Below are 12,647 nucleotides of genomic sequence, written 5' to 3'. Positions count from 1 at the left end.
CAGAACACAGGTGTGACCTGCACCTTCAAATCCAACTTGTACAGGACCATTCTGGCCACTTGTACAGAGAACAAGGTGGCATTTGGTGAGGAAATCTCAGTACCTCTTTTTGGCCCTGAAACATAGGGGCGTCTTAGGCTGAATACTTCTGCAAGATGGCAGGGCCACTTTTCTACCACATATGCAGCATGGAATGTGGGCACGTCAGATGCCTTAGGATCATGTTAGTGTGAGGTCATGTTAACCTGGGACAGATGCACAGAGCTTTCTTACTCCACAGGGACTGTGAATATCCTGGACTTGTCAGGGTAGATGGGCTAGGATTCTAGAGCCTAGAATCAATGCAATACTCCCTGGACCACTGCTTTGCTGTTGTTAATCCTGCTGACCTCAACTTTCTAGGTGAGAGCTGAGCCTGTGCTGGACCTCCCATCAGTGGCCCAGAAACAGCTCTTTCCTTCTTGACTCCCCAGCTGCCTCACCTACCTCCCTGCTCCCCTAAGCTCCTTCCTGTTTAGGCTCTCTGGGATTAGTGCTTCAGAAGCTATGCTTCCCTGAAGTCAAATGAGACCAGTTTAGTATGCGTATATGGGATTCCAGTTTGTGCCTCTTCAACCATCCAAAGCCACATCTGTCTACATACCCTACAAGGTGTGACCTCTGCAAGGCCAAAATCAGCACAGATAACTAAAAGGCAGCTGTCTACAGAAGAGAATTAATAATGGTGTCTGCTGAGGGAGGATACACTGATGCCAAATCAGACCCTCAAAGATCTTCTAAACCTATGCTTCCCCTATCAGATCTTACTATTACTGCTGTTAATGATAATAATTAAAGCTCATTCTTGCATAATGCTTTACAGGTTACAAGCACATTTACATGCAATATTTCATGTCATCCTTTCTATATCCTTGTGAGATAGGACTTACTAACCTTACTTTGCACATGATGAAGAAACTGCTCAGAAAGGTTAAAGTGATTTGTCCAAGGTAGAGAGGCAACTTCAATGGCAGAGCCGAGACCCCTGACTGCAGGTTTTCCACCTTCATGCAATAAGTTCTTTATTTCAGCTGCTCTGCAGGTAGCTTGCCCCAAGTCCTTGCAATCAATCACACTCTGTTTGAGGCAAACTGGCTTCCCCACTGGGCCCGTTGCTGCTTTTTCTCCTCTTAGCTGTAATTCTCCACTCCCTGAACCACTCCATCTACCCCGTCCCTTTGGCTAGTTCTTCTCCTAACTATTCTGGCACATGCAACATTAATCCGCTTCTTTTCTCAACAACTCTAGCATTTACTGACTGTACTGCTGATTTTATGTTTTTAAAAGGACTTCAGGCAGGCCATTTTCCATGGATTTCAGCAGGTAATCACTCACTGCCTGGCATTATAATTTAACTGGTTTTTTCATGTCTTTTTTATCACCCCAGTTATATTGTAAATGCTGGTCTTACAAATAATAAGGTTTAACATTGCTTCTTCTCTCTACCCCTAGATAGTGCTATATATATGCCACTCCTCAAGAAAATTTTGTTTCTATGAATGAATGGATGAATGGAGAATGATAAATACACGGTTAAAGAATGATATGAGGCTATACATTGGAAATGAGGACAGGAGAATCAGCTAGCTTCTCATAATCCCTTAGATATAATCCCTTCACAATTCCCTCTACCCTCCCAAGCCAACAGCCACTTTCAAAGGTGAGGTGCACCAGTAATGACAAGGTGGCTTGTGGAAGCACCCAGTGTACCGAGACACCAGTGAGAACCCTTTAAATGCTCCCACGCTTCCGGTAATTTCCAAGCCCTTACTGTTGCCACCTCATATATAAAGGAAACCAGATTTTAGAGATTTATTATTCAGCCTTCTTCCTTCACAGTTTCACAAATAAGACCCACTTGCTGCCTGAAAATTGTTTGGCAGAGATACTGTCACTTGTGTGAATTTACATTCTTAAGCGGCAGGGAAATCATGGCATCATGGTTAGAATTTGGTAAGTGAAATGTGTGTGGAAGTGTGAAGAACTGGGCTGAATGGATTGTATCTGGGTCTGTTCTACTTACCCTTCCTGTTACTGAAACTCCAGGCACAGCCAGGCCAAAGGTTTCACAGTCTGCCCCTTCCAGTGACCCACCCCACCAGGTAGCCCCTTCCCCTCTTCTCTCCTTTCTCCTTCTCTCCCATCTCCCTCTCACGATAAAATGACAATCTCTATGCATGATTTAGGGGAACATTGCAAGACCAGGGAGTTAATGCTAGTGACATGCTTAGCACAAGCAGCTGAAGGATCATAATTCAGTGCTGACATCTGAGCTAATCCACTAGTCTGCAGAATCTCCAGACGAGCAGGCCTCTGGATTTCACTTCGTTAAATCATTTGTGCCCCACTTGTCTGTTAAGTGCTATGAGCTCCAGGGAAGAAAGATGATATGTAAATTTAAGGAATTAGCAGTAGACATCAGTCAGAGAGATGCTGAGCTGCAAAGCGCCTGTCACTGACAGAGGCCTGATTAGAACCAGGGACATCATGAAGGAATGACTCAGACCAGGAAAAGCCCAAGGAAGGGAGAAGAAGAGCAGGGGGAAAGGAATGAACACATTGAACACCTGCTGCCTGTGCGCGATCACACGGGAGGCTTTACCTGCCTCCCCTGATGTCACCTTCCCTGTGAAATCTAGCTCTGCAAAATAAATACCATCTTCTCCATTTTCACCAAAAAGAAACTGAGGCTCAGAGAATTGGAGTGACGTAGGATTTGAATCCTCATTGGACTCAGTAAACCTGCCACAGCATAGCTTCTCATCTGGATTGGACTCCCAGCCTAACTCACTAAGCTTTTAAAGCCTCAGTCTTTCCATCTGTAAAATGGATACAAAGACAGTCTTACTGCATAGAGTTGGGGGAAGAGTAAATGGAATGAGCCATGTAAAGTGCTTTGCACAGTAACAAGGACACATTAAGAGCTCAGGAAAAGTTGTTACTATTAATATCACTCTACACACTCCCTCCTATGCTTGCCTTTATTTTACTAGGAAACAAAAAGGATAGAAAGACCACCAATAACCCAGGAAGGCCAATCCAAGACTCAAAAAGAAGTATGTTTGGCATGAGGGCAGTAAAGATGTTCTCTGGACAAAGACTGGTTCCCCTTATCTGCTCTTTCTCCAGAAACCAGCCGGCCCCAAGTTTTCCATCACCACAGGTCTTTTGTGTTGCTTCACAGTAGATGAAATAAAATATTACATGATCCTGGAACAAGAGTGGGACCTCAAGTGATCTTAGGGCAGGCCAGTCCTGCCTCCCGGAGGAACCGTGCCAAAAGCATCCAAGAACAGCTGTCCACCCTTTGCTTTAAATTCTCCAGAGAAGGAGTTTCCATAGGCCACGTCTGTAGTGTGTTTTCTAGGTTACAACCCTAACCATCAGAAACTTCTTAAATTCAGTTTAAAGTTTTCCTGCTGTCATTTAGAGACATTTCCTCCTTCTACCCCTGATGGAGCATAGCCAATTTCTGTTTTCCAACTTAGAGACATTTTCACTTGTGAAGAATTAAGACTCGTAGTCTTTGCTTCCCTAGGAACCCTTGCCCCTTCAAATGTCTACTTCCTAGGGCATGGTTCAAATGTCTACTTTCTAGGGCAGTGTTGGTTTTCCACTGACCCTTCTTCCAAGCTATTATAAATGCTTCAGCTCTTTTAAGTCATGGCACCCACACATAGATATTGAGATCAAACACGTGCTGCAACTGAAGTTTGTTCTTCTGGAATCTCCCGATTTATGGCCCACCACTGTCAGACACAGAAGATGTTCTAGGTATACAGTGGCTACTGATTACTTGGACCGTCAAAAGAGCTGGTATGGTGGGGGCGGGGGGCTACTTTTTTATTTACTTGAACCTTGAGGTAAAGCCCTTTGGATTGTCAAGAGGTCGCCTGAACGTGACAACTGACCAGCTAAGAACCAGCCCTGCCTGTTCTTGTAGCTGATGGCTATGATGCCGGCAATGGACAGCTTCCAAGAAAAAGACAATGGAAAGGAAATATGTTCCATTGCTGAAAGAGATTGAAGAAATAATGTCCCAGAGATACAATTCCTCTCCTCCTGGACCTGACATACTTGGGAGGCATTTCGCTGGGTCCTTGACCCAAAACATCTGTTGTTGCCAATGATACAGGGAAAACAATCGCCTGGGAATGAACAACAGGAGTTCAAAAGGGTGAAGAGGAAGTACAGAGGACAGGGCCATTCAGCATTTTAACCTGCTGCTGTCTCTGGAAAGGTCTCTTGATATTTCACCTGGCGATTTACGGCCGCATCTGGCTTCAGCTGCTTAAGTGTCATGTGAACACGTGACTGCGACTGGCCCAACAGCAATGGAATCAGTTGTGTCTACACCTCACCAAACCCTGAAATAAATCACCAGCTTGATCCTCCTGGCTATCACAAAGCCAAACACACCATCTGTCCAACACGCACATCTCCTGGCTAGCATCTTGCCCTCCTACTAGAACGACCATCTGAAAGAATATTTAGTGCTGTAGGAGATGTAGTCTCTTTGCATAGTCCATGCTTAAAACATGAGTCAGCCCTCAGCTGGCCTTCCAAGGTCTGCCTATCTCTGCTAAGGTCCTCAAATTAGCAACCAGTTAAGGGAAACACTGACTTTGGATAAACTTAGCAAGATGTTCTCAAGGTTTACAATAGACCATTTTGTGGACATGAAGGTTTCAGTCCTAGCCCTTGCAGGAATCTACCCAGAGCTGTTTTTTCACTCTGCCGGCTTTCATGAAGGTTTTGCCATTGAGGCTGTCTTGTCATTCTGCCCCTTCGTTATCAATCCACACACTGCTGGGGGACTCAACCAATCATGATTTGCAGGAAAAAAAAAAAAAGGGTAAAGAAAGCTTCTTCCTGCTGTTATTTTTTTCTGCAAAGCCTGGGATGTTTTTCTACCTTCCTTAAAGAAGGGCCTCTATCCTTTTCTTTTCCAGTTGAAATTATTCCTTGACTATTGGCTTTCTTTTAGCCAAGCTGCTCCTGATCTTTAATTATCTATCATGGTCCAGAGCCCAGGAAGTTCTGTCTCTGGATTTGCAGTGTCTGTGCCCCAGCCAAGCCACAGCAACCTCTTTCTGAAGACAGTTCAATCTAACAGCAATTCAATGGATTGTTTGCTGCCATCGGTCCCACCTGATCTTTTGAACTCAGAGTTGCTTTTCAATTCAGTCACCACTTGCTCACTGTCTAAAATCAAGCCCATTATGAGTAAATTCACTCATCAGTTATTTCCTCTGATTTCTCTGCAACCATCCACTCACCATACCCATCCACACTTCACTTAATCTTCTTGTGTGCGCCTCCACCGTGAATCATGGCTAAGGTCTCCCACTCTAACGGAATTCATTCAATGGCTCAGTCTGCATCAAAATAGCCCCAGTGAGGTGTTAACAATCTTACTTCTTACATTTGAAGGAATAGCCAGCCACTGTTTGTAAAATTTGGGTATTTTATAACATTAAGATTCTCGACTTACTCCCATTTGAGCTTGTTTTTGAGCCTAGAGTAAAGGTTCTGTTCCCTCAATCCCATAGGCTTTGACCAGGCAGTCAAAGCTCTGTTCAATATCAGCTTCGCTTGTTTTCTTTCTATCACTTTCATGATTGAAAGTCATTGAAGTAATACTGTAATCAGATTTCACAAGGCCAACCCACGAATAAAAGAGCACAGATTTAGGGGGAACACACACTGGAGGATTCTGAAGCTGACCTGGCCTAGTACCCTTTACCTCATCTTCTTTGTCTCATTCCTGACAATAAAAATGACACAACAATCACAATGATGATGATTATTGACCTTACTTAGTATTAATATTTACTTACAATGCTCTTTTTGATTAATCGCAATAGTTCCTACACCATCTAATGCCATGTTACTTGCTTACTTTACTGTAGTTATCTAGTGAGGGAGAATGAGACAGCTATAAAGATACCAGCCACTGAACACTCCATCAAGGGATCCCACAGAAGACACATCCCTCCATTACTTGCTTCTTGGTTCATACCAAAACCAGGGAACTAAAGAATCATCAAGGGCCCCTGGTGGTTGCTCTCATGTGAGTGTCCAAAGCACTGGAGCAGTGTTGTCCAATACATTCTGTGATGATGCCGTGTATACAGTGACGTGCCCTGTCTATGCACTGACCAATACAGTGTAGCTACTGTGCCCTTGGAATGTGGCTGGTGGGACAGCAGAACCGAAGTTTTGGCTGTAATCATTTTAATTAATTAAAATAAAATTGCCACACATGGCTCATGGCTACAATATTCAATGCTGCAGCTTTAGATACCTGCCCGCCCTATGAGTTTTTGTCTCGGTTCTTAAAGGCTGGGCTTTGATCATTCTCAAAACTCTGTCTATGTTCAAAGCACCTGAGAATGTAGGAAACATGCCATCTCCTAGTAAGGGGGTGCTTCCTATGTCATTGTCACTACAGAGGAAAGCCAAAGTGGCCTCTTAGAGAACACTGAGTGTTCCTCCGCAGCTAGCAGGGGTCACTGAATTTGGAACAGGGTCCCCAGAGGCTGGTGTGAACACACTCCAGGCAGCTAAGCCACAAGCAAAGAGCTAAAAACAGAAATTCTGACTGGCTTGAAAGACTATCTTGAAAAACAAAAACAGTGGAATGAAACCAGTGGGTGCTTTTCAGCCTTAGGCAACCACTGGCCAAAAAGAACAGAACTAATTGCTTACTTAAAAGGAAAAGGAAAGGAAAAAAAAAGAAAGAAAATATGAGAAAATAATGAAATCAGAAAATATCCGAGGAATGTAAGCAGTTTCCACATAGGGCCCGTGTTGGGTACTTCAACACGGCTAGCTCCTCTCCCATCCACCTTTCTCTTCACCCTGACGCCCCTCACACTTGACAGAGACACCTCCTTTCTTAAATTTCATTACTTCTGTTTGCCTATCTCATCAGGGGATGAAGCATATGGCACACGCTCGTGAAGAGTGGGACGGTCCCCTCTGTGGATGGCAAAGTGTGGCACACAACAGGCTTTCAGGCTGACTCTGTGGGCGCCAGCCGCTCTGAACCCATTAGCAGTTGCTCTGCCCCCAACCAAGCCAGCTGCTTCCCTTCTCCCCAATCCCCTCAGGGCCTCCCCCTCCTTTTTTTTTTTTCCCTATGGAGAAGAAGTAAGGACCACCCTGAACAGAAAGGGCTTTCTCTCCTCTCCTGCTTAAAGCCCAATATCAAGCTCTGTAGGGAGAAGGAAAATGGGAAATACAGAGAACGGTTCATAAAGTCATCAGAGGATAGAGGGAAGGGCTCTGAGAACAATATTATGATTTTGTTTCCTGGAGGCAGGTTATAAGTGCCACTTTCCCAAACTTCGGGATTCCTCTGGAATAGGAAAATAATTACTTTCCCTTTCAATATCTTAAGGGAGGAACAACATTAGATTTAGCAGTTCCTTATGGCCGTAATTTTCTCTCTGTCCCCATCCATTCAGCCAAAGGTTGGAATTCTGCCCACTTTGTGAGCTTGCTCTGAAAAGCCCTCCCAAACCACAGGGTATAATGAATCAACTGGAAGGAGGACAAAGACTAGAATTCCCAACCAGTAGCAAAGGTCAACCATAGGGGCTTTCGGGTGAAGGCCAGGACTGGACGAGGAGGAGGCGGTGGTGAACGGGTGAAGAAACAGAGGTCCAGGCCAGGGTCAAAGGGAGGTCACTTAAGCTCCCCTGGAGCTGTGACTCAGTAATTGGTGGCCTTGTGGCCTGGGTAGGGCTGCCCTCAGACACTCCCAGAGAAAATATGCTTAGAAGAGTCAAGGGAGGAGGCCAGAATCATTAGAATGAACCTGAGGACAGACACTGAATAAGAGCCAGCCAACCTCCCCAGCCTGCAGAGGACCCCGGCTATATCCTTTTATTCCAAGCGCCTCTGCTGAGGTACATACCACACAGACACACACACACACCCATGCACAGAAACCACAAACACACTCATGCACACACACATTAACACTAGAATACCCACACCTACACAGACCCCACAAACCTTCTTTACATTCAGATAAAACATGGGGGTTGGGAACAACCATGAATTAATTGGATGCAGTCTCAAAGGAGTGGAAATGAAATGAAAAATCCAGGCTGGGTTATAAAAATAAGTATTTTTTCCCAACGTGCAGGAGGCTCATTATATTAATTAAACATTATTGCAGTGAACAGAGAAGGGAGGGTGATTAAGGCTGGACTGGGGTAAGTGTTCTCTTCTTTTGCCTGAGGCTGTGGTGATCTTCAGATATTAATCTCTCTGAGCACTCAAATGCTGAAGAGATAAACACTTGAAATATGAAAATGTTTTTCTCCGGATCAGGCACTGTGACCCTCCAGGGAAGCAAGTGTGGACTGTGTCAGGAGGCCAGCTCCAAGTGTTCTCCTAGCATCTGTCCCACTGCCCCCACCGGGAAGAAGGGACACGCCAGTGCTTGGGGTGAGAAGCAGTTCTAAGGAAGCCTGCAGAAGGGAAGGTCCCTTTCCCTCTTTTATTTTCTAGCCTTTTCCTATTGTACCCTGGCAAACTGATCTACTAAATTTCCGGAATTCACCCCTCTCCTCTCCAGTGCTTATGGAGGTCTCAGGTCCAGGCCAGAAGTACAGGAGAATTCAAAGTCACTCAGTGCTGTGCTAGATCCAAGGTGTACCAGCTTGTGAGAGCTGCTTGTCAAGTGTTTTGCAAGCCAGTTGTTAAATGTATTCATTAGTAAAAATTAAATTATATAAAGCTATAATTCAATAAATTGTATTAAAAAACAAAGGTAACAAATCCTCAAAACTCAACACTTGCTAGTTATCTTAATACATTTTATCAGTAGCTATACTTCTGGAGTCATTTCTGTCTACTGTATTTGCACAATGGAAAAAAAAACTATATAATGCTCTCTTACTGACTTCTCAACTCCATCTCCATTGATGTTGTGTTGGTAGCTTAAGCTCAGCTATGGTAAGGGTATTTACACCACTGAAAGTGACAAACGTTAAAAAGCAGTTTATTTTTTAATCCCTAAAAAGCCTATTGTTAAACATTTACCATCATACTGCTGTGAAAGCACGTAACAGCAGAGATAGCAGACAACTCTTGCTACCTGTTTAGAAGGGATAGAGGCAACCCCTTCTTGTCAGCAGTGCCAGGAGAAGCTTCTGAAATCTGGCTTTCTGAAACTAAAATGGTGGGCTTAACAATGTATCCAGGACTTACAGCAATACTCTTCTAGAGGCCAAGTGCCAGGCAGCTCTGCTAGATACCCATGGGTGTGGCAGCATTTTGGTCCCTCAAATTGACTTGGTGTAGAAGCAGTGGCACCCTCAGAGACGTATAAATCAAACTCAAGGCCAGTCATCTCCCAATGAGCCATTTTAGGAACAGTACCCAGCTCGAAGTTGACAAGGGGCTCTGTGATAATAGCAGTGGGTGCTGGCTATGGGAACAAGAGGACACTGACTCGTGCCCCATCTCCTAGGGCCTCCCAATTGTCCCTTTTTTCTTTCTCCTCTTTCTTCTATCTTGGCTTCCGCTTCTCCCTCCCAGCTTCCAGGCTGTGCTGTAATCACAAGAGAGGCTGGGAACCACCAACTGGCTATTCTTTGAGGTGACGTCTTGAGCAAAGACTGTGGTGGTTTGTGGGCAAAGAATAGAGGATTGCTGTGCGGTGGGAAGTTATGAAGCTTGTAAGGGAATCTGGGGTTGAAGTATGTGGAACAAGCTGGCCTTAACTCTTTCATATCTTCACTCACAGCTGGCTTACCTGGAAACGTCCGGTCGTTTGGGCTGGAGCTGCTGGCCCAGGTGGTCCGGAGCCACTTGGCATGGTCATACATCCAACCACAGGGCTCCTCGAGGAAATCGAAGTTGCAATTGAATCCCGAAGGGAGCTGCAAATCTTTGTCTAAAAGGGGAAAACAATAACCCAAAGGAAGGCAAATGAAATGGGTTCAGAGAACAGCCACAGTGGTACTATTTAAATGGCTGGCAAGGCCTGAGTGGAGAGCAGAGAAAGAAGTGGCTTCCTTTGCTTATTCATTTAACTCATCTTGGCGATCGCTGGCTTTCGGGTCAGGCTTTGGTCTCATCCTTCCCAGGCATGAAAGCCAAGTCTGCCAGTGGTTCCCATAGTAAGCAATTATGAATGAGGCTACCAAATGGCTTCAGGCTCTAATCAGCCTCTTCTGTCCACCTCGGAGAGCAGACAAATGTGAAAATTGCTGTTCCCTAAATGCCAGAGAAGAATGTCTCCCCAGTGCCCTGGTGGAAGGCTGGCTCCCAAAAAAAGTATTATCTCATCTCCTGCCAACCTGGCTCTCAGAGGAGATGGGGCAGCCCATTAGCATCCAGAGAGACTGAAATCCCTGGGAGGTTCTGCCCAGTGAGGAGAAAGTGACCTCAGAAACAAGGAAGGCTTGTTTGCTACACTTCACCTCTTTGTGATCCGTCTCTATTTCTGAAGACTGGGACAGTCCAGCATCTCCATGGGGAGGTATGCCCGGTGGGAAATTTGGCATGGTAAGAGCAAATCGAAGGGACCAGACCAGCCAGCTTCTCAGCTCAGTGCTGGCCAGGAGGAAAAATAATTTCCCATCATGCTGAATCCCTGGAGGCTGCGACCCCGGGAGGTAGAGAATGCTTTCCCTATGGGAATCCAGGAACTAATGACACAGTGGTGTCCTGTCTGCTTTGATGGTTCACCTGCCTGAGCCTGAAGACAGAACCAAGAGAGTTTCTTCTGAGGTTCCACCCAGCTCCAAAAATCCAGTATGAGCTAATGCCAAATATGTGACTAAGTGGGGGTGGTGTGGACGTGGGGAAAGAGGAAATGGGAACCCAGATTTGGTTGTTTGCCGGCAGTGCCTGCGGAGACAGTGGAAAAATGTTGGCTAATGTTGGTAGCAGGGAGAAAGTGGGGTCTCTGCCCTTCTCACTTCCCTTCCCAGGGTTCTTAGAGAGGAATTTCCCTGGGGAAGGCTTAGAATGCAGGTTAGGAAGTCTAAAGGGAGCCACGGACTGGTAGAAACAAATTACTCACCCTAGGGGTGAGGAGGGCTCACCTCATGGGGGGCAGGGCACTGCTGGCGTCAGAGGGAGGAGGAAGATTGCCACCAGGCCCTGTAAATGCCTTCCCTTTCCAGGACAGGATATTTAATGTTTGCCCACCCTTGGCCAAAGTCAGCTTGAGTTTAGAAGAGACACATGGAATCTATTACAGAAGCATCAACCTGTGGCTTGGAAAAGTCAGCCCTTAGCCTTTACCACCCCTTCTCCTGACAATTTCTGAATTTCTATTTTTCTCTTCAAAAATACGAAGTAATTCAATATAGCATAAATCCTCTGTAATGTTTACATGTATACTGTATCTCAGGAACCAAATTCTACAAAAAAAACTTTTGCAAAAAGAAAAGGGAGGAACCATCAAAGAAACCTCAAATGAAACAAACCACTAGAAACGGGAAAATCATATTAAAAATAAACTTCTGAAATTTTGCAGCAGAACCCTTAATTTTTCCTTTGATTGTCATTTAGCTAGAACCCCCACTCCAGGTCCCCCAACAAGCTAACTCTGTAAATCCAATATCGTATGTTAACTCCCTATGCATTCCACTTTTGGCTCTCAAACTATCTGAAACATGTCTTGGAAGATTCTCCAAGTCTCCTTCTTCTCTCCATAAAACAAAAACAAGTTCATTAAAATGTCAGAATTCTGTATTCAACTAACCCCGACCAACAGTGTCCCCCACCCACACAATAATATGAAAGCACAATCCCCAAAGCATATGCATTAAATTATTGCTTTTTCAGTCACATAACTTCAGCATTTATTCTTGGCTTTCCTCCCATTCTTCTTTGTAGCCATTTTCTGGAGTCATCCACTCCATCAGTGTAGTTCCTCTAACTGTCAAACGGCTGTGCTTGCAGGTTCCACAGATTTTGCCATCTACCTATATCTTTATGTCTCCATCACTTCTCTAGTCTCTTTGCCAATCTTCCCTCATTTTGTTTAATGAACATTTAATAATGATCAGTAATTTACTGTAAGTTGAGGCTGTCAAGCTTAACATTCTAGCCAAAATGCCAGGTGTTCCAAAATTTGTGGTTTCTTATAAATGTCCTCATACTTGGTGACTTTAGCAGTATGATTTAAAATGTGACTGACTTTTGGATTCTGCCAATTATTGTTTTTATCTAACTTGGATATACTCCGAAGATAAATGAAAAGAATTTCCCATGTGATGGGACCCATCCAGAAATGCGGAGCCCCTGAGTTTTGAGGGAACGGTTGAAGATGCCTTTTTACATTTCCGCCTTTGTCTCTGATCTGCACTCCAGTTATAGAGGATACAGTGCACTATCTTATAGAATCATCACTGTTATACTTTCTCAAATTGGTGGCGGTGAAAGACACAGGGAAACACAATTAAGTCACAGGTAACTGCTGGATTAACCCAACTATCGCGCTCCATCACCCAGATGACTGCCGTATCTTCACTTCGCTGTAGCATACACACACAGCTTAACAGGAAAAACTATCAGAGCTGTGAATTCTAAGGATAAGAATGGTTCTCCTTTAGCAGACAAGCAAGATAGTG

The 12,647-nt window shown here is 44.6% G+C and overlaps 1 protein-coding gene across 15 annotated transcripts in view, besides 1 other annotated feature; it reads right to left on the bottom strand.

Moving 5' to 3' along the window:
- The window catches only part of NRP2 (neuropilin 2), a 115,631-nt gene that overhangs the window by 35,342 nt on the left and 67,642 nt on the right, over positions 1-12,647 (bottom strand). For all 15 annotated transcript variants that reach the window (XR_007083522.1, XR_923057.4, NM_201266.2 and 12 more), the window contains one exon: positions 9,815-9,955. Coding sequence is in view for 13 of the 15 variants with exons in the window: in NM_201266.2 (NP_957718.1) it covers positions 9,815-9,955 (141 nt within the window). In the remaining 2 variants the exon portion in view is untranslated. The remainder of the gene's footprint in view (positions 1-9,814; positions 9,956-12,647) is intronic.
- Positions 9,306-10,505: an enhancer, noted in NCBI's record as "CDK7 strongly-dependent group 2 enhancer chr2:206617009-206618208 (GRCh37/hg19 assembly coordinates)". NCBI's record gives its function as "activates an origin of replication core promoter dependent on BRD2, BRD4, P300/CBP, MED14 and CDK7 cofactors, with strong dependence on CDK7, by STARR-seq in HCT116 cells {active_cell/tissue: HCT116}" and the evidence as "EXISTENCE:reporter gene assay evidence [ECO:0000049][PMID:35650434]".

The sequence above is a fragment of the Homo sapiens genome, chromosome 2, assembly GCF_000001405.40.
Source record: "Homo sapiens chromosome 2, GRCh38.p14 Primary Assembly".
Taxonomy (NCBI): domain Eukaryota; kingdom Metazoa; phylum Chordata; class Mammalia; order Primates; family Hominidae; genus Homo; species Homo sapiens.
The sequence above is the reverse complement of the archived record's forward strand: the minus strand, read 5'-3'. Positions and strand labels throughout refer to the sequence as shown.